This window comes from Homo sapiens, chromosome 11 (assembly GCF_000001405.40).
Source record: "Homo sapiens chromosome 11, GRCh38.p14 Primary Assembly".
In the NCBI taxonomy this organism is placed as follows: domain Eukaryota; kingdom Metazoa; phylum Chordata; class Mammalia; order Primates; family Hominidae; genus Homo; species Homo sapiens.
This window is the reverse complement of record NC_000011.10, coordinates 133,620,142-133,642,189: the sequence shown is the minus strand read 5'-3', so window position 1 is coordinate 133,642,189 and position 22,048 is coordinate 133,620,142. Positions and strand designations below refer to the sequence as shown.

Here is a 22,048-nt window from a genome sequence, read left to right as displayed (position 1 = left end):
CACCAATCAGACGTAGATTTGGTCTTTTCACATAGTCCCATATTTCTTGGAGGCTTTGCTCATTTCTTTTTATTCTTTTTTCTCTAAACTTCCCTTCTCGCTTCATTTCATTCATTTCATCTTCCATTGCTGATACCCTTTCTTCCAGTTGATCGCATCGGCTCCTGAGGCTTCAGCATTCTTCACGTAGTTCTCGAGCCTTGGTTTTCAGCTCCATCAGCTCCTTTGAGCACTTCTCTGTATTGGTTATTCTAGTTATACATTCTTCTAAATTGTTTTCAAAGTTTTCAACTTCTTTGCCTTTGGTTTGAATGCCCTCCCGTAGCTCAGAGTAATTTGATCGTCTGAGGCCTTCTTCTCTCAGCTCGTCAAAGTCATTCTCCATCCAGCTTTGTTCCGTTGCTGGTGAGGAACTGCGTTCCTTTGGAGGAGGAGAGGTGCTCTGCTTTTTAGAGTTTCCAGTTTTTCTGTTCTGTTTTTTCCCCATCTTTGTGGTTTTGTCTACTTTTGGTCTTTGATGATGGTGATGTACAGATGGGTTTTTGGTGTGGATGTCCTTTCTGTTTGTTTTCCTTCTAACAGAGAGGACCCTCAGCTGCAGGTCTGTTGGAGTACCCTGCCGTGTGAGGTGTCAGTGTGCCCCTCCTGGGGGGTGCCTCCCAGTTAGGCTGCTGGGGGTCAGGGGTCAGGAACCCACTTGAGGAGGCAGTCTGCCCGTTCTCAGATCTCCAGCTGCGTGCTGGGAGAACCACTGCTCTCTTCAAAGCTGTCAGACAGGGACATTTAAGTCTGCAGAGGTTACTGCTATCTTTTTGTTTGTCTGTGCCCTGCCCCCAGAGGTGGAGCCTACAGAGGCAGGCAGGCCTCCTTGAGCTGTGGTGGGCTCCACCCAGTTCGAGCTTCCCGGCTGCTTTGTTTACCTAAGCAAGCCTGGGCAATGATGGGCGCCCCTCCCCCAGCCTCGCTGCCACCTTGCAGTTTGATCTCAGACTGCTGTGCTAGCAATCAGCGAGACTCCGTGGGCGTAGGACCCTCCGAGCCAGGTGCGGGATATAATCTCGTGGTGCGCCGTTTTTTAAACCCGTCGGAAAAGCGCAGTATTCGGGTGGGAGTGACCCAATTTTCCAGGTGCGTCCATCACCCCTTTCTTTGACTCGGAAAGGGAACTCCCTGACCCCTTGTACTTCCCAAGTGAGGCAATGCCTCGCCCTGCTTCGGCTCGCGCACGGTGCGCGCACCCACTGACCTGCTCCCACTGTCTGGCACTCCCTAGTGAGATGAACCCGGTACCTCAGATGGAAATGCAGAAATCACCCGTCTTCTGCATCGCTCACGCTGGGAGCTGTAGACCGGAGGTGTTCCTATTCGGCCATCTTGGCTCCTCCCTGTACCTTTTATTTCTATAAACTATCCCTGTTGTACATTTCCCTCCTTCAATGAACGTTCCCTCTTTTGCCTTCTTCAAGGGCTGTTCTGCAGGGGTTCTGGTCTTTCCCCTGCATTCTTGTGCTACCCATATTCCCTGACGAGGCCCCCATTCTTGGGTGTCAAATGCCATATATATATATATATATATATATATATATATATATATATATATGTATATGTATACTGATATTCAAATTTAAAGCTTGAGTGCAGGCATTCACCCATTTCGGACCACTGTGCCTGGCTTTCTGATGAGCCTCTCCACCTGGACACTGAGGTCGCAGAGCCCTGAACTCAGTATGTCCAAAGCTGCTCTCACCCTTTCACCTGTAAACTTCTCTGGAGCTATCTTCTGGCTCCTTTCGTAGCTTCTCCATTTACCCAACCATCAGATAAAAATCCTAAGAGTTGAAAAACTTAGGTCTATTTATTTTTTGGGGTACAAGGAAAAATAATCTGGAGGAAATTGTGATTCATGGCTTAAATGAAAGAGTGATGATCACCCTACCCTCAGATGGTCATGTGGCCCTCTCTTCCAGATGAAATCAACCTGAGCATTTGAGAATGGGCATCCTGGCTGAGGCAGCCGTGGTGGAAATCAGAGACTCCAGGATTGCCATCACAAGTTCTGAATCCAGGTTAACTACTAGGTGATCTTAGGCTATCGGCTTCTGAGATACTCCATTTTTTTATGTTGGAATTATTATGAAAATTAAATAAGTTTATAAGGATGGAGGGGTTTTTTTCTTGAGTTTACCCAGAAAAATCATTCTCATTAGTTCATTATCTGATTTCAATGATTTAGAAAGTTAATGAACACATGTACAGACTGACCTGTTTAATACTCAAACACCATCAAGACCATCTTTCTCTGATGTAGCCCTATATCAAAAAGCAGTGGCTGTGGGTCCTTAAAATGATGTCTCCTTTATTTAAAGATATGTGGTCTACCCTCATTTTTCTCTGCCTTTGATAAATCACCTGCATTCATTTAACCTTTTTCCTGAGTTTTCACTCTCCACCCCTTTAATCATTTTCACTGCTCTGTCTTGGACCCCCTCCAATTTCTCTGTACCTTTTGGAAAATTAGAATCCCCAGACTGCACATAACACTCTAATAAGGGCCAAGTCAATGCCAAATATAGCTCATGACACTCTTTCTTGTCACTTGAGTGACAGACAACACTGTTAAGACTTCTCAGTAGCATAACAGTGTTAAAAGACACACATCTACATGGCAGACCCCAAGATCAAACTTCAAGGACGTGATCGGCATGCACTTATGGAAGGAACTTAATGCTGTTATTGATCCTCTCTGGAGAATGAGAAGGTGTGCCCAGAATGTTTAGAGGATACAGCCTAATGTGTCCCATGCATGGACCCAAGGGAGCCATATTCGTTTGGGGTTTGGGAGAAAAGTGCAGTGTTTGGACTTCCAGATTTTCCATAATAATAGAGACAATTCTCCTACCATTAGACCCCTACCATTTCAGGGTCATCTTGATATAGTTACACTGACTCTAGTTATTTAGCTTGCATGACTACTCTAAGTTTCCTTCTTCCACAGAAAGAAAGCATTTAACTTTCTTAGTTTAAGAGCGGAGGGTTCCACAGGGACTAGTGAGAAATAGAATCTGGAGCAGGAGGCAAATTAGTGCTGATAAGTGACCTGGTGGGTGTCCTGGAAAGTCTGAAATACTGGAGGCTCATTACATGGGAAGCACTGTGATTCAGTGAGCTATGCAACCAGTGATGTAAAGAAGGAAATTAAATCGGGAGTGGCGGGCGGCGGGAGAGATTTTGGTTCAGAAGATTTTACCTGGGTTAGAAGTTTAGGGACATTTTAGTGAAGATAGAAAGTGATGATTTTTCAGGAAGAAGGGGGATTGGGCAGTCCAGCATAGAGGTGCATTATTTGAGTGTGTGGTTCCTTCAGCCTCCTGCTGTGGGAAGCGGCTAAGCAGGTGGAAGATCTTGCAGCCAGACACCTGAGCAAGGGCAGAACAGGCACACAGGTGTTCAGGTGGCATCTTGGAGGCCAAGAAGGTTGAGAGCAGGGTCACTCTCCACTAGAACCCAGGAGCGGAAGTGGGAGATGGCAAACCATGCTGCCAATTACTTATTTCTCAACTGGCTCACGGCAGGAACCAGAGCCATTCCTCTTCCTCTCTGCTTGCCTGGATGAGGCCAGCTCATGCTGAACCAGTTAAACTTTTCCTACAGTTGGGAATGATGGAGAGTGGATTGTTTTGGCTAGAACTAGATGAGGACAGGTGGTGCCACCTGCTACAAGTGATTTCCTTCCAGTTGGCTCTAGAGCCACCATTCTTGGTCTTTTTGCAGTTTGGTGGGGCTGGTGGGGAGGGAAGGGAAGGGGAAGGTGGTGGGTGAGGGAGAGAATCTGGATTTGCAGTGAGTCATAATGGGCTTTCACAGGTTGGCAACCCCTTTCAGATACAGCAGCAGATGCATTGGCATTGAGAGATGATTGTATAAGGACATGTTTGAAATACTGATGTTTCAGGATCCCTGTGGTGGCCCTTTCTACTGCAGATGCTTGAGACCTTTCCATACTTCATCAAGGTGACAAAAAGTGCTTGTCATTTTAGAAGGCTGCAGTTCCTTGGAGCCAAGAGTCTTGAGAAGAGGCCATCCGAGAGCCTTGTCCTCCTTTAGCTATTTGCCCTGGTGAAAAGCCCTTCGCCCACCAGACACAAAAGCTGGCCAGGAACTGCCTTTGGGCCTTCATGTAGTTCAACCACAGCAAGCCATTTGGATGATTTTTCTCTGGAGCAGGAAGTGTGGTGTCTAAAACTCACCTCACTAATCACTGAAGGTGGCACTCTAATTTCTTGCAAGCCTGGTTGTATCTGAAAGCCCATACCTCCTCGCGGTGGCCTAGTGTTTGAACACAGACGTGCCCAGTGTTGAAAGGGTTCTCTTGTGGGGCTGCTGTGGCTGAGGGCAGCCTGCTGTAGACCAGCTCTCTGAGCTTTCTCTGTTTCTTAGCTGGTGAAGGAGATGGCTTGTTTATAAATATCAGGCAGGAAAAGCAGGTGCAGGTGGCAGGGCCACCGTTGGAGGCACAGAGGAGGTGGGGTGGGCAAAGTGACCACGCACACTTGGTGATTGTTCCGATGGAGCTTGGAGACTCCCTCAGCTTCCAGGGGCTGTTTCTGGCTCTGTAAGGCGCTGGGGGCCACTCTGGCTGAGATTCTGGGGGCGTCTTGTCTTCTGTTACTCTGGTCTGCTGTATGCACCTAAACCCATTTACAGTTCCAGAGGGCAGGGGCAATGAGACACACCACGCCCCTTCCTGAGGGACGGCCTCACAATTATCGAGGTCTACGTCGGCCAGACACTAAGCCTCGGCATACATTATCTTTGATCCTCACTCTGTCCCTATGGGATGGGTATTATTTCCACGGTAGCCTGAGCGGGGGGCACAGCAGGTGGGGGTAACTGGGAGATAATAATGTCCCTGGGGTAGGGATGATGACTATATGGGTTAGAAGGGCAGGGAAGAGTGGGAATGCTGCCAGGAGGGGCAAATTAAACAGAAGCAGCCTGTGTGTGGAGTGTGGTCTCCAGGCTTTTGAGGGAGAGGCCTCTGGCTGAAGCGGGAATCCAGGCAGATTTTGTTTTTCTGGCTAATTGGATGCTTGTTCACAGTGTCTTCCCACTCACAGAACCAGGCAACAAAGAAGTCTGTGGCGTCCACAGGAGGGAAACAAAGCAAAACGAAGCGCCGACCAGTGCGGTACTATTAATTCAAATTAATGACCCTCACCTACAAATAAAGCTGGTGCCTGGCAGGTCGCTGGCTCTTGGAGAGCTGCAATGAGAACAAACGTGGCTTTGCCGTCTGGCCAGGCAATCGATGCCTCCTGCCTGTCCCTGGCCGCCCCGCACCCACCTCTTACAGATGTTACCTGTCTCCTGTTAATTCTCCCGTGTCACTCTCCACTTCCCCGGTGGGGGTGGGGGGGGGGCGGTCAAGGGTTGACCTGGAGGGTGGGCTTATTTCATAAGAAAGGCCGATTGAAAGGGCCCAGATGCAAAGTCACACTGCTCTGCTGAGCTGGGAGGACACCCCACTGAGAGACGTGTCTGAAATGGGTGGAGGTCTCTGGGCATCACTGGCAGGGGTGGGTGCCTGACTGTCATTTAGGGACATTTCTGCCTTGATCTGTTGCTCTTATTTATCTCTGCCAAAATAAAGATGTGTTTGATGATAAAGACTTCTTTTATTCAGCCTCTCAGTTATTCCAGCACGGTAGTTAGAGATGAATACAACGTTGCCCTTAAGCTACAACCTGATCTTCACAAAAACCCTTTGAAGAAGGTAAGTTTAGTTTTACTTTAAGACTGGGGACTCAGGGAAGTTAAGAAATTCTCCAAAATTCACTCAGCTTTTGTGTAATGTGTAATGTGTAAAAGACAGGGTACAAATCCAAGTCCTCTCATTCCAAAGACTTATTTTAATTTTAATACCTATCTGGTGTTTTCCCCTTTGTTCTCTTCAGCATAAAGGCAGAACATTAAAATAACTAATTTTCAGAAGGGTCATAGAGAGTTAGAATTGAAATCATCCTTGAAAATCCCCCAGTCTCCCTCCCTGACTTTGCAGAGTGAAGCTGGGGCCACGGCAGTAAAGAGGAAGGGATGTCTTGCCCTGCACGTTGCAGTGAGGTGGGGGTGTCAAGGCCATAGGCCCCTTCTCTTTCACCCAGGAGAGATTCTCAACAGGGGAAAAGGCCGGGGCATGTGTATTTCCATGCATGTAGCCACATGCATGAACACAGGCACACAGACCCCAAAGGCAGCCTGTGTTTTTTATGCCACGTATGTCCTGCCCCTCTGCCATGCTACTAAGAGCCGTATTAGATCTTGAAATAGCTTGCCTGCAAGCTGGGATCTTTGTCCCTTGCTCTATCTGGGGGGTCAGGGGGAAGCCTTCCTTTAGAGTAAATGGAAATCCAGAGGATCCCTGCCCCATTCTTGACCCAATCCCTGAGGATTACTTTTTCAGAGAAGTCCAAACCCGGACTTTCTAGATTGCATCCTTGATGACCAGAGGCATTGCTATTTAAATCACATGTTTTCTTTTCTGTGAAGAGGGAATCTCATTCTTCGTAAGCATTTCTATACATCTAACTGCAAACACAAAGCCCCTGAAAAGTTAGTGGATCTTGGATTTGTCCCATGTTTGTTAATTGCCAGAGACCTTTCTATTTAAACAAGTGCTTCTTTCATTGCAGTCTTTGCACAAACACAGCTTTGGAGAGAGTTTATATTTTAGGGGAGAGTAAATAGCTCTGCATTGTGCTATACTAGCAACTGTGGATGATGTGGAAACCTGGTTGCCAGGCACAGTGTTTCCTGCTTTAGGAGCTGTACCCAAATGCTTCTCTTTGCTATTTCACTTCATTCATTCATTCATTCATTCATTCAAAAATGTCCATACTGAATACTTTCTGTGCACCTGGCACTGTGCTAATTGCCGAGAATATAGAGGAGAAATAATTTCTAAACAATTTCCCCAAGAACTTCACAGCCTAGTGAGGAGCAAAGGCCATGACACAGACGTTATACAGAAAACAACCATTTGAACGGTACAAAGTAAAGAAAAGGGACTTCCAACCTCTTCTAGGGGTGTGGAGAAAGGAGTTATAGAAAGCTTCCTGAAAGAGGAAGTTAAGTTATAACTTAAAACGAGGAACAGAAATTAGCAATATGGAGAAGTGAGGGATGGTCAGTGCAATTTAAGTCGAGGGAGTAGTGTTTTAGAAAAGGTTCATGACCGGCACGGTGGCTCACACATGTAATCCCAGCACTTTGGGAGGGTGAGGTGGGCGGATCATGAGGTCAAGAGATCGAGACCATCCTGGCCAAGATGGTGAAACCTCATCTCTACTAAAAAAAAAAAAAATACAAAAATTAGCTGGGCGTAGTGGTGGGCGCCTGTAGTCCCAGCTACTTGGGAGGCTGAGGCAGGAGAATCGCTTGAACCTGGGAGGCAGAGGTTGCGGTGAGCCGAGATTGCGCCACTGCATTCCAGCCTGGCGATAGAGCGAGACTCCGTCTTAAAAAAAAAAAAAAAAAAGGAAAAAAAACGTTCATGAAAGAGACTGTTGAAATGCAATCAGTTGTATTTGATCACCTGGGATCTGTGCAGCAAACGGGACAGGTAAGAGGACAGACCACAGCCAGGAAGGTAGGGACTAAACCCTGAGCTTCCTAGCTTAGAATGCAATGCTAAGGCAGAAAGTTGAAAATCATCCAAAGGCAATGGGGTGCCGTGGAAAGATTTTAAGCTGGAGGATACCTTAATCTATTTACATTTTAGAAAAATCATTATTAACAGGAGCATGAGGGATGCCTTGGAAGAAGGGAAGGCCATTGCGGAAGGTTTGATGAGATGGTGGCTGAGCAAGTGGGGAAGAGAAGGCTAGTTTCAGATACACCAAGGAAGCAGAACCGACATGACCATAAGATGGGTTATATGCAGAACAGGAGGGAGAAGAGAAAATGCTTTCTGGATCACTGGGATGATGAGCTCACAAGGACTGAGAGGCTGAGGAATGAAGAGTGAGTTAGGTTCACGGAAGCTGAGACTCCCAGACATAAACCAAGTGGAGATGTCCAGGAAACTGATTATACGGATCTGGAGCTCAGCATGGAGATCTTCAAAAGATTTGGACCTGGACATCAGGTGAGCTATTGTAGGGAGAGCACATTTGGTGGGGCGATCCTGGAGCACATAGATTTTAATGGATGGGCAGGATGAAGAAGAGCTCATGGAGCACACTGGATTCCAGCCACTAGAGACCAGGGGAAACCAGGGCAGAGAAGTCAGAGGAGGGTAAAATTTCAAAGATGGAGTTGCTAATAGTATGAAGTGCTGCACAACGATTACAAAAGATAGATGAAAAATATCCATTGAATTAAAAAATGGTAGAGACTACGGTTGTCTTTAGGAAGGGGGAAAATGGAGTAACTTCTCTCAGAAAGCCAGGTTGTGAAGCACAGGATAGAAATGAATCAGTAGCTAGACAGGCAAGTGAGACTGAGAAGCTGATCACCTCCACAGCACACAGTTTAGTTGCTGCATTTGTGGTGTCAAGTCTTGGGGAAGAGGATGGTCGTAAAAACTGTAAGTCATGAAGTAACCAAACAGCAGGATGATTGGTTTGGGAAGGAAGTTACTCCAAGGAGATCAAGAGAAAATGGCAAAGCTGGAACTACTCATTGGAAATAGTTTCCTGATTCATATATCAGGAAGAGTTTCTGATTATGAAATGCATTTCTTATAGTGTCGTGATTAAGAACGTGGGCTCTAGAATCAAATTGCTTTGGTTCAAATTTTAGTTCTGCCATTTACCAACTGTGTGAGCTTAGGAGCGTTGCTTAACTTCTCCATGCTTTAGGTCGTTTGCTTGTTAAGTGAGAATGGTGATAGGACCTCCCTTGTAGGATCACTATCACCATGACAAATAAATGTATTTTAAACACTACATATTTTCTGAGACACAGTAATCATTCCATAAATATTAGCTACATTCTCCTTATAATATTTTGCATCTACATAGTGCTTTTAATCATATGTAATGTTTGCAGCTTCTGCACACGTTTATTAACACGACAGAACACGGAAAGAGAACTAACTGTGAAAACAGCATGGTGTTACATCTATATGGTTCTTCCACGATTTAAACCAAATCATGGGAAGACTGAGACCCAGAGATTTAAGCAACTTTTCTAAAGTTATACAGCTAGTAGGCAGAGACATAACATCCCTATATTTTCTGATTTTATGTTTGGTGTTCTTCCTCTTACTGATTATTATAGAACTTCAGATTTCAGGAGGACTTTTGGTTAGTGATTGGAACAAGAGGGACTTGTTATATTATCCCCACCAAAATGTTATTTTTATTAGTATTTTCCTCAGTGGACATTTTGGTTAATATATCTTTTTATACTTTTACTTTCAACATATCAGCACTTTTTTTTAAATGTATGTTGTATATTTTGCATTTTCTTGTATGGTACCTGGCCCATAGCAAGTTTCATGCACGTCCGTGTGAAGAGACCACCAAACAGGCTTTGTGTGAGCAATAAAGCTTTTAATCACCTGGGTGCAGGTGGGCTGAGTCCGAAAAGACAGTCAGTGAAGGGAGATAGGGGTGGGGCTGTTTTATAAGATTTGGGTAGGTAAAGGAAAATTACAGTCAAAGGGGGTTGTTCTCTGGCGGGCAGGAGTGGGGGTCACAACGTGCTCAGTAGGGGAGCTTTTGAGCCAGGAGAAGGAATTTCATAAGATAATGTCATCAGTTAAGGCAGGAACAGGTCATTTTCATTTCTTTTATGGTAGAATGTCATCAGTTAAGGCAGGAACTGGCCATCTGGATGTGTACGTGCAGGTCACAGGGGATATAGCTTAGCTTGGGCTCAGAGGCCTGACATTCCTGTCTTCTTATATTAATAAGAAAAATAAAATGAAATAGTGGTAAAGTGTTGGGATGGTGAAAAATTTTGGGGATGGTATGGAGAGATAATGGGCGATGTTTCTCAGGGCTGCTTCAAGCAGGATTAGGGGTGGCGTGGGAACCTAGAGTGGGAGAGATTAAGTTGAAGGAAGATTTTGTGGTAAGGGGTGATATTGTGGGACTGTTAGAAGAAAGATTTGTCATTTAGAATTATTGGTGATGGCCTGGATACGGTTTTGTATGAATTGAAAAACTAAACGGAATAAGAGAAGGAGAAAAACAGGTATTAAAGGTCTAAGAATTGGGAGGACCCAGGACATCTAATTAGAGAGTGCCTAAGGAGATTCAGCATAGTCTTGCCAACAAAGATTATTTATTTACTTCAAGAGTTAAGAGTGGCAGTTTGGGGATAGCACCAGGAGGTATCAGCTGTGATGGCTTAGAGAAACAGTGTAAACAGGCAGTGTAAACAAGAGCATGGCATGTCTGAGTAGTTGAGAACGGTGAATAGGAGTATGACTAGACAGAAGATAGTAGGGATGACAAGTTTTTTGGGGCACAGTACAAGTTGGTCTGGTGTCTGGAATGAGACTGGGGCCTAATAAAAAGGAGCATCCAAACAGGAGCTCAAATGGACTGTACCCTGTAGCATTCCGAGGACAGGCCTGAATTCTGAGAAGGGAAAGTGGTGAAAGTATTGTCCAGTCCTTTTTAAATTGGTGGCTGAGCTTGGTGAGGTGTGTTTTTAAAAGACCTTTAGTCCATTCTACCTTTCCTGAAGACTGAGGACCGTAAGGGATATAAAGGTTTCACTGAATACCAAGAGCCTGAAAAACTGCTTGGCTGATTTGACTAATAAAGGCTGGTCTGTTATCAGACTGTATAGAGGTTGGAAGGCTAAACTGAGGAATTATGTCTGACAGAAGGGAAGAAATGACTGCAGTGGCCTTCTCCCATCCTGTAGGAAAGGCCTCTACCTATCCAGTGAAAGTGTCTACCTAGACTAAGAGGTATGTTAGTTATCTGACTCAGGGCATGTTGAGTAAAGCTAATTTGCCAGTCCTGGGTGGGGGCAAATCCTCGAGCTTGATGTGTAGGGAAGGGAAGGGGCCTGAATAATCCTTGAGAAGTAGTAGAATAGCATATGGAACACAGAGAAGTTATTTCCTTGAGGATAGATTTCCACGATGGAAAGGAAATGAGAGGTTTTAAGAGGCGGGCTAGTGGCTTGTACTGTAGCATAGCCTGCCTTTGCTGGTGTGTGGCGATTAGGCCTGGTGGAACTGCCATCAATAAACTAAGTGTGTTCAGCGTGAGGAACATGAAAGAATATGGGGAAATGGAGTGAATGTCAGGTGGACCAGAGAGTTACAGTCATGGGGGTCAGGTGTGGTATCAGGGATAATGTGGGAGGCCTGATTGAAGTCTGGGCCAGGAACAACGGTAATTGTGGGAGACTTAACAAAGAGTGAGTACAGCTGAAGGAGCCAGGAAGCAGAAAGTATATGTGTCAGGTGTGAGGAAGAAAATAGATTCTGGAAGTTATGAGAACTGTAGGGAGTGAGTTGAGCATAGTTTGTGATTTTAAGGGCCTCTAAAAGTATTAGGGAAGTGGCAGCCGCCACACACAGACTTGAGGGCTAGGCAAAACAGTAAGGTCAAATTGTTTGGATAAAAAGGCTACAGGGTGCGGTCCTGGTCTTTGTGTAAGAATTCTGACTGCACAGCCCTGCACTTCTGCTGTGTGTAATGAAAAGGGTTGGGATGAGTCAGGGAGATCTAAGGTGGGGGCAGTCTCTAAAGCTGTCTTCAAGGAATGGAAAGAGGAGTGGGGAAAGGATTTAGGATCTATGGGGTCAACTAGGTTTCCTTTTGTGAGTTTATATAATGGTTTTGTTAGGATGGCAAAACCAGATATCTAAAGTCGAAAGTATCTAACCATGCCTAGGAAGGAAAGGAGTTGTTGTTTTGTAGAAGGGATTGAGGTTTGGGAGATTAGTCGGACATGATCAGCAGGGAGAGCATGTGTGTTTTTATGAGAATTATGCCGAGATAGGTAACAGATGAGGATGAAATTTGGGCTTGACTTAAGTAATGGGGGCTATCTGTGAAGCCTTGTGGCAGTACAGCCTAGGTAATTTGCTAAGCCTGATGGGTGTGAGGGTCAGTCTAAGTGAAAGTGAAGAGAGGCTGGGATGAAGGGTGCAAAGGAATAGTAAAGAAAGCATGTTTGAGATCCAGAACAGAATAATGGGTTGTAGAGGCAGGTATTGAGGATAGGAGAGTATATGGGTTTGGCACCACGGGGTGGATAGGCAAAACAATTTGGTTGATAAGGCGCAGATCCTGAAATAACCTGTAAAGCTTCTCTGGTTTTAGGACAGGTAAAATGGGGGAATTGTAAGGAGAGTTTATAGGCTTTAAAAGGCCATGCTGTAGCAGGCGAGTGATAACAGGCTTTAATCTTTTTAAAGCGTGCTGTGGGATGGGATATTGGCGTTGAGCGGGGTAAGGGTGATTAGGTTTTAATGAGATGGTAAGGGGTGCGTGATCAGTCTCACCAAGGAGGGAGTAGAGATCTCTTATACTTGTGGGTTAAGGTGGGGGGGATACAAGAGGGGGACGCAAAGGAGGCTTTGGATTGGGAAGAAGGGCAGCAATGAGATATAGCTGTAGTCTAGGAATAGTCATGGAAGCAGATAATTTAGTTAAAGTGTTTTGGCCTAATAAGGGAACTGGGCAGGTGGGGATAACTAAAAAGGAGTGCTTAAAAGAGTATTGTCTAAGTTGGCACCAGAGTTGGGGAGTTTTAAGAGGTTTAGAAGCCTGGCCGTCAATACCCACAACAGTTATGGAGGCGAGGGAAACAGGCCCTTGAAAAGAAGGTAATGTGGAGTGGGTAGCCTCCGTATTGATTAAGAAGGGGACGGACTTCCCTCCACTGTGAGAGTTACTCGAAGCTCGGCGTCCGTGATGGTCTAGGGGGCTTCCGAGGCGATCGGGCAGCGTCAGTCTTCAGCTGCTAAGCTGAGAAGATCTGGGAAGGAGTCAGTCAGAGAGCCCTGGGCCAGAGTTGCAGGGGCTCTGGGAGTGGCTGCCAGGTGAGTTGAACAGTCCAATTTTCAGTGGGGTCCCGCACAGATGGGAACGTGGCTTAGGAGGAATCCCGGGCTGTGGGCATTCGTTGGCCTGGTGGCCAGATTTCTGGCACTTGGTAGCAAGCTCCGGGGGGAGGCAGGCCTGGAGGAACACCTGGCCACTGCGGTTTAGGCGTTTGGAAGTTCTTGTGTGCTGGAGATGTGGCTGGGGTTTGTCTCACAGTGGAGGCAAGGAATTGCAACTTTTTTCTATTATTGTACACCTTGAAGGCGAGGTTAATTAAATCCTGTGTGGGGTTTGAGGGCCGGAATTTAATTTTTGGAGTTTTATTTAATGTTGGGAGCAGATTGGGTAATAAAATGTATTTTGAGAATAAGACGGCCTTTTGACCTTTTAGGGTCTAGGGCTGTAAAGCGTCTCAGGGTTGCTGCCAAACGAGCCATGAACTGGGCTGGGTTTTTATATTCGATGAAAAAGAGCCTAAACGCTAACTGATTTGGGATAAAGAAAAAGGAGCATTAACCTTGACTATGCCTTTGGCTCCAGCCACCTGTTTAAGAGGAAATTGCTGGGCAGGTGGGGGAGGGCTAGTCAGTGAATGAAACTGTAAGCGGGACCCGGTGTGAGGAGGGGAGGCGATAAAAGGATTATAGGGTGGAAGAGCGGAGGCTGAGGAAGAATTGGGACCTAGCTCGGCCTGGCGAGGAGCAGCCTGGGGAGGAGGGGAGAGGTCAGATGGGTCTGTAGAAAAGGAAGATTAGAAAGACTCAGCGACTCTTGGGGTTGGGACTGAGGGGACAGGCGGGAGGGAAAGAAGGAGGATCTGGGATGAGTCGCATTGGGAACAGAGACTAGGGAGGGACCAATGTGTAAAAGAATGCCTGGACATCAGGAACTTCAGACTGTTTGCCCATTTTACGATAAGAATTACTTAGATCTTGTAGGATGGAAAAATTGAAAGTGCTGTTTTCTGGCTATTTGGAACTGCTGTCGAGTTTATATTGGGGTCAAGCGGCCTTGCAGAAGTAAATAAGGCATTTAGGTTTTAGGTCAGGTGTGAGCTGAAGAGGTTTTAGGTTTTTAAGAATACAGGCTAAGGGAGAAAAAGGGGGAATGGAGGGCGGAAGCTTGCCCATAGTGAAGGAGGCAAGCCCAGAGAAAAGAGAGAGTAGAGACATGGAGAGAAGGGGTCGAGGGGTTCTTGCCCCCTAGAAAAGCGGGAAAGGGGTCGGGGCACGGAAATAAGGGGTTGGGGCACAGAGATAAGAGGTCGGGGTGCGGAAATAAGGGGTTGGGGTGCAGAAATAAGGGATCTGGGGGGGTCCTTGCCCCCCCAAAAAGTAGAGACGGGGTAGAGACAGGGAGAGAAGAGGGAGAGACAGGGAGAGAAGGGGTAGAGACAGGGAGAGAAGAGGGAGAGACAGGGAGAGAAGGGGTAGAGACAGGGAGAGAAGAGGGAGAGACAGGGAGAGAAGGGGTAGAGACAGGAAGAGAAGGGGTCGGGGTTTTTGCCCTTCCCCCAGAAAAGTGGGACTTCTGCTAAGGGTGAAGGACCAAGGCAGGCATCCCTGCGTGGTCAGACACCTCTGAAACGTGGGTGAATAATCAGGCATCGCTGCAATGATTAGACACCAAGGGAAGGCTGCCTTCCCGAGTCCGTGACCAGCGCCAGAGTTTTGGGTCCACGGATAAAACGTGTCTCCTTTGTCTCTACCAGAAAATGAAAGGAATTGAAATTAAGAGAAGGGAGAGATTGAAGGTTGGCGCCAAGATTGAAAGGAGAAAGTGTTTTAGGGATGGTGAGAGAGGTTGGAGAAGAGAGTAAGAAGAGGCTGCTTACCCGATTTAAAATTGGTGAGATGTTCCTTGGGCTGGTGGGTCTGAGGACCCGAGGTCATAGGTGGATCTTTTTCACGGAGCAAAGAGCAGGAGGACAGGGGATTGATCTCCCAAGGGAGGTCCCCCGATCTGAGTCACAGCACCAAATTTCATGCACGTCCATGTGAAGAGACCACCAAACAGGCTTTGTGTGAACAATAAAGCTTTTAATCACCTGGGTGCAGGCGGGCTGAGTCCGAAAAGAGAGTCAGCGAAGGGAGATAGGAGTGGGGATGTTTTATAAGATTTGGGTAGGTAAAGGAAAATTACAGTCAAAGGGGGTTTGTTCTCTCTAGTGGGCAGGAGTGGGGGTCACAAGGTGCCCAGTAGGGGAGCTTTTGAGCCAGGATGAGCCAGGAGAAGGAATTTCACAAGATAATGTCATCAGTTAAGGCAAGAACAGGCCATTTTCATTTCTTTTTGGTGGAATGTCATCAGTTAAGGCAGGAACTGGCCATCTGGATGTGTACGTGCAGGTCACAGGGGATATGATGGCTTAGCTTGGGCTCAGAGGCCTGATAGCAAGCACTTCTCTTTCTCCTTTCATTGAACTTCCTTCCCTTTCTTCTTTGCTCTTTTTCCCCTTCTCTTCCTTTCTTATTTTCTTGGTCTCATTTCCTTAGGATAATGATCCTCAAACATAGTATTCTTTAGACTCTGTTGAGGAACTTGGTAAAAAGAAGAGTCCCGGGTTCTACTTGAGAGGTTGTCCTGGGTTCTACTTGAGAGATTGTGATTAATTAGGTCTAGGGTCAGAACAAGAAGGAGCATGTATTATAAAAATCTCCTTTCCACTTTGGTAGGCAGAGGTGGGTATATCACAAGGTCAAGACTTTGAGACCAGCCTGGCCAAGACGGTGAAATCCTGTCTCTACTGAAAATGCAAAAATTAGCCAGGCAGGGTGGTGGGCACCTGTAATCTCAGTTACTCAGGAGGCTGAGGCAGGAGAATCACTTGAACCCAGGAGGAGGATGTTGCAGTGAGCTGAGATTATGCCATTGTACTCCAGCCTGGTGACAGAGACTCCGTCTAAAAAAAAAAAAAAATTCTCCGTTCATTGTGTTACTGGTGGACCTTCTCTTGAAAATAGGTTTTCCTCAGTGTTTAGGTTAAATCAATGGAAAGAATTGCAGTTGCTGAATGAGTATATTTTCATTTTGGGGAAAAGGACATAAAGCCACAGTGTTGGTAGGTTCTGGCCCTTCATGGGATTTGGAATTTGGAGAGAGATTTGATAGTTTTACTATCCCATGTGGAAAGCAGCTGATCCAAGAATGGGATAGCAAAGGGGAGGTGTCTTCTGCTGGGATTGCTGGAAATACACTTGGCTCTGAGGGAGAGAAATGGGCTGCACTCTCGTTTCAAATAGGCCGCTGAAATAACTCTGGTTAGGGATGAGTTTAATGAGTCCTGTCAATCTATTTATTCTTCCATTCAATAAGTATCTATTGAGACAAGCATTATGACAGGGAATAAGAATATGATGATAAGCAAAACCTAAGCCTATTTCCAAGGGAATCACAGTTTAATGGAAGCATGTAGGGGCTGGGGGAGGAAGTATGGTGAAGTGGAAGAGACAGGAATAAAGATGGGTAAACAAAAGGTTACAGACCGGTGAGGCTACAATTTCCCTCAAAGTTCCTTGGGAGGCTTCAAAGAGAAGTTGAAATTGATGCTGGCTCTTGATGGCTAAGTAGAATTTTCCCCAAAGTGGAAGAATTTATTGCAGCCGATGAAATAGCTTGGTGTACAGTTATATTAGTATAAAATAGCATGATTGTCACTCATCATGGGGTTCAGTGAATCATTTTCAGAATCCAAAACTAATACTCCTTAAATCACCTTTCTGGTCTCTCTTTCAAGGCTCTGCAGCATCGGTGGTGAATTATCTGTTTCTCCGGCCAGCATTGCTCCTCCTCAGGCCGCAGTGGCCTCTGGTTCCTTCCTTCCTGAGTGATCTGTGGTTTGCTTGTCTCGCTGCATTTTCATGCCCTCTCCAGCTCCTTGCCATCAGTGCTCCTTCCTCACTGTCTCCTTCAATCGGCCTCTCTACTTACTGTATTTGACTGCACCCACCTTTCTGTTAGTCTCTCTTCATCCTCTTCCAGCTGTGCAAAAACAGCCAAGTCATCTCAGATATTGACTTATTATTTTCTCAGAGAGTAAAGTTATTAACTTCTTTCAAGAGCGTTGGTCTCTGAAGACGATGAAGGGGAGGTTGCCGAGGGCAGGGACCTAATGGGAGATCTTGACTGATGGTGAAATTTCAGGGTGATGATAATGAGGACAATAATACTATCAAAACCTGAGATTTAAGGAATCCCTTGCAAAGGTATATGAGAGTGTGTTAAGGAGCATCTCTTCTACTGTCGCATGCTGAGCAGCAGGTTTGCAAATAGGGCTGCAGTTGTTTATCTGGAAGGTCTCTCAGTTTCAAGAAGATTGGGGCTTAGAATGCCCGATAAATCTCCTGCCAAGTCAGCAAATGATGAAGTCTGTCAGACGGTGTGACTCACCAATAATTCAGATCTCTGTCCATCGCCTCTTCACCGCACTTACTTTTGGATTCCATTTCCATCCATTTTCACGAGTCTCATATGTTTTGTTCTAACCTTCCCAATGGATACACGAGACGAAAAAACAGCCAGCCTATATTTGGGGACCACAGTAAATCAGACAGAAAAAGATGGTGGAGTCTGGCAAAGTCTCCTTTCTAGAAGAACTACCAAATGTTACTGAGCTGTCTAATTTCCCTTTCAAAAAGGAGAAGAGATGCTTCAGGCAGTAGGCAGGAAGCCGGGTTCCCATGGATGGGTGGGTGCAATGAAAGAAGGAAGAGGACAGGAGTCTATTTAGTGTCCCTGCTTTTAAGCAGCGCATCAGTCAAATCACACCAGGAAGGTTCAGGTTCTTTTTTTATTTAAATGCTGGAAAAAGACACAGTTTCTGTAATACATTATGAAAAAATTATTTTAAAACCTTATAACTTTTGTATTAAGAAATCCATAATCAAAATTAACAAATATTTACTGAGCCTTAACTGTCATTCATCGATTACTTCTTATGTCCCAGGAGCTGTTCTCAGAGCTTGACATACAAGGTCCTATTAGAGCCAAACAGCGATTACATTAAGTGTTACTAGATTTATTGTACAGATAAGAAACTGAGGCATAGAGAAATCACTTCTTCAAGGTCACAGGGGCAGTCAGTGGCAAAGCCCTGGTTTCTTTGACTTGAAATTGTGTGCTCCTGGATGCCGCTCTCCACTGTGTACAGCACAAGACACGAGGATGCGCTTAGAAGTCTCACAGTCTCTATTTTCCATGCACACATATTGTTATAGATTCTAAATTCTTCACACTTCATTTAAACCTGCTGACTCTCTTTTACTCTTAGAAAAGAGAAAAAGAATAAAAAATTGTTAATCTTAATCATAAATGTAAACAGTTACTAAGTCACTTTTTAAGACTTATTTTGATGGTTAAAGGAATCCTGTAACCCATCTTTCAGTGCATTATCAATTATTATTGTTGTTCTCTGTGTCTTGAACCTCTTACTGGCATTTCTTATATGGTGTATTTCTAAGTGAATATATTCTTTTTTATAGAGAATTGGCGTTATGTCCTATGAGAGAAAAGAGTCCACCACTGTTACAGATCAATCTGTTCTCATACTGGCCTCATTTCTCTCACCTCCCACCAAAACCCTCAACCCTAACTCTGAGAGCAAATAGCTAACTGTGATCTCTAAAATATTATTAATGAGAACTCAGACTTGTGAGTTCGTGGGCACTTGGAAGCTGTGGCCTTCAACATCTCCGCTTTTCCCTACAGCTCTACCCCTTGCCATCTTCCCATTGCACACAGTCCATCAGAGCTGCTGCCTGTGTGCCCTGCTGTCTTTTAGCCAGGCCAAGGTGTATGAATAAACTAGGCTTATCCTAGATAATTTGAATTTGAATCTTAAGCTAAGTGAAAAAGAGATTTAAACGGCTTGTGTTTTTCTATTTGACCATCCTATTTCTGTCACATAAGCGTGCCTACATTCTTGCTTCTTAGATATCTAGAGCTGTCTTGGTTTTTGCATATTTCCAACCTGACTTGTACTTGACTTTCTATGCCAGGATTCCTGTTTGCTTAAATTGGCTAGAGGTGGGTTCTCTTGCTTGCAACCAAATAACCTCAACTAACTCTCTTCCTGGTTACCTCCCTCTGTTCATTCGTTCACTCAGTAAATACTGAAAATCTACTGTGTTCCAGGTATTTGGTAGAGACTGACACTATAGGTGTAACCCTGGCAAATAACATCACTGCTCTCAAAAGACTTACCACTGTGGGAAAATCAGAGAAATAGGCAGTTACAGTTTGTTATAATAAGGATCCTATTGCACTTTATGGAAGGTGCACCCACCTAAGACTTCCAGAAAAGTCAATCAGAGAAAGCTTCCTGGAAGAAGTAAAATGTATACTCAAAGTGGAAAGACAAGAGTTTGCCAGGTGAAGTGGTGGGGAAAGAATGTTCTCAGATAAGAGAATGTGGAGGATCTATGGAGAGCTGGAGGGAAGAGAGAGCAGATGCATTTGGAGAACTAAAAGCAATTTGACCTGGCTAGAGCATAGAACACCATGGGAATGGGGATGAATTAGCTTGAAGATATAAAGCAGAAAGAAACAGATTATGAAGGACTTTATAGGTCCTCCTAAGGAATTTCTACCTAAATAGAGTCAATGGGAAGCCACTGAAGAATTTTAAACATTGAAGTGAACTACAGTTTTGTGTTTTTGAATGACATTCCTGACTACAGGATAGAAAATGTCTTGGAGGAGGGCAGATTGGCCCTCGAGAGGCCTGTGGCAGAAACCTAGGCCAGAAACCTAGGCAATGGCTGAAGCCAGAGTTGCAACAACAGGGATGGAGAGCAGAAGACTACAGAGGAAGTAAAATCTGGATTGCAGATGGCATCATGGTCTTTTGGACAAGGGATTGACGCCGAGTGAGGGCAGAGCAGAGGATGAGGAATGAGTATGTACTGTGAGCAAGCAGGAGGAAGGTCGGGCTACGCATGAGACCTGAAGCACAGGGACATGACCAGATTTGGGGTGAAATAATGAATCTGTTGTCTCAAAGTTGGCCTTTGGCCTGTGCCCTCTAATTTGAAAGTATTAGAGAGTATCAGCAAGATAAGCAAAGTGCGTATGTGTGAATGTGTGGGTAGTGGGAATTAATTTCTTTGTTCTGCTTGAAGAACCGCAGAGAATGAATGAAACTTGTGAAAAACAAGATGAGGGTCTGCTTTGTCTGAAGATCCTACACAAAATGTGGAATGATGAGGGTCCTGGGTGAAGCTTTGCTGTTTGGAGTTGGTGTCCTTTGGCAGAGAAATCGTTCTTGGCCACGACAGAGCTGGTTGTGCATTCCATTAGCAGCGAGAGCCCATGGCATGTACACTTCCAGGCTGTTTGTCTCATTGAGAGCTGGGTGTGTGGGAGTGTTTACACCGGGGCTATTTCAGCCCAGGCTGGTGGATAATGAATGAGTTTGTTTTTGAGCTGGTGAGTTGGAGCTGACACAATGCCGGCAGGTGCCTTTGTCTCAATCCCCTCCATCCATCTTTATCGGATTTGCCAGACTCTCCCTCACTCTTTTTCCTTTCTTTACTTTACATTGAAGGCAGCTGGGAATGGATCTGCAGGACGACTCTCCCAGGACAATAATAATGGTGGGAACGTCCTCTGTGTGTTCATGCCTTTTCTGATAATTGTTGTCCACCCCCAACCTGTCTTCTACCTTCATCTGCTATGTCTCGAGTAGACCAAGGAGAGTTACATTCTAAAGAAATAGTTACCAGACATTTCCCAGGATGATTTTTTCCCAGTAATGAACTTAATTAATCTTTCACTTTCTCTATCTTTCTTTTTGTCTGTTTCTTCATGGGGGCTGAAGGGGAATGTTAGGGATTTTAGCCATAGTCTCATGTGGACTCATTGTCTCATAGCAAGTATGTTGTTTCCTCCTCTGTCTGAAAACCTCCAATTAACCTCTAGACCCAACCTTAATGCCATCTTCTAGGACACCTCAACCCCTCCCACTTTGCTCCTCCTGGTCTTCTCCGGCGACAGTAACCAGCATATTCAGTTGCCCAAGCTGGAAGCCTGGCTTTGACTCCCTCCTATTCTTCATCTCCCACATTTCATCAATGATCAGATTCTGCAACCAAAATCTCTTAATATCCCTTACTACCTTTGCAGCTATACCCCCCATAACATTTTTTTTTTCAGGCCACTATCATTTTTGGTCAAAATTTTAATTGTAGAATTAGGATCTTAAAGATTCAGACAGATTTTTCTAGAGTTCATATACATTATTTTTTTTTTATCTGAACGATTCTAACAACATCCGAATGGAAATCCCTGCCTTCCATTGTGTCCTGTTTGCACTTCCCTCGTCCATGTTTAGAGGATATAAAGAAAAGCCTGACCATTTTATTCCCTTGTTTAAAAATTTTCAGTGGGTTTCCACTGTTCTTAAGACTGGACAAACTACTAAGCATCTTACGGCTAAAGTCAGGCTTACAGTTAGAGCTCCCTTTTCCTTGAAAGTCTCTTACTATCATTTCCCTTAAAGATTTGTGCTCCAGATTAAATACGTTAACATTTAACTATGTACTTCCTTCTTCCTAGGATGGCTATGCCCTTCCTCCTTTCTCCTTTACTGTCACCTGGATACATTCTACTCACTGTTCATTTCAACTTTCATGTCATATCCCCTGGAAATCTTTTCCTGACCTCCTCCTAGCCTGGGCCTCATGCCCTCCCATGTGCTCTAAAAACTACCCATATCACTCATGTCACCATTCATTACAATGTGTTGGAAATACCTCTTTGCATATTGCACTAGACAGTAAGCTTTTTTTAAGGGCAGGATTGCATCTTATTCATGATTAGTTTATTCTTAGTGCTCATTCTGGTATATCAGGTGTTTAATTATTAGAAGGCCACAGGAAGTATTATTTATTATTTCCTCTGGATTCTCTGCTAGGCACCTTGTTTATTTATTTATAAAGGCATTAACAATGTTGCTTTGTACTTTTCGGTTATGTGTTCATGTCTCCCACTAGGTGGTGTGTTCCTCATTGGCTGGGACTGTATTGTAC

General features: G+C 44.9%; 3 annotated features.

The window, feature by feature from the left end:
• Positions 393–1,014: an enhancer, noted in NCBI's record as "NANOG-H3K27ac-H3K4me1 hESC enhancer chr11:133511071-133511692 (GRCh37/hg19 assembly coordinates)". NCBI's record gives its function as "activates a minimal SCP1, AML or CMV promoter by ChIP-STARR-seq in naive H9 embryonic stem cells {active_cell/tissue: H9 hESC(naive)}" and the evidence as "EXISTENCE:reporter gene assay evidence [ECO:0000049][PMID:30033119]".
• Positions 12,536–13,041: an enhancer, noted in NCBI's record as "H3K4me1 hESC enhancer chr11:133499044-133499549 (GRCh37/hg19 assembly coordinates)". NCBI's record gives its function as "activates a minimal SCP1, AML or CMV promoter by ChIP-STARR-seq in naive and primed H9 embryonic stem cells {active_cell/tissue: H9 hESC(naive and primed)}" and the evidence as "EXISTENCE:reporter gene assay evidence [ECO:0000049][PMID:30033119]".
• Positions 13,042–13,548: an enhancer, noted in NCBI's record as "H3K4me1 hESC enhancer chr11:133498537-133499043 (GRCh37/hg19 assembly coordinates)". NCBI's record gives its function as "activates a minimal SCP1, AML or CMV promoter by ChIP-STARR-seq in naive and primed H9 embryonic stem cells {active_cell/tissue: H9 hESC(naive and primed)}" and the evidence as "EXISTENCE:reporter gene assay evidence [ECO:0000049][PMID:30033119]".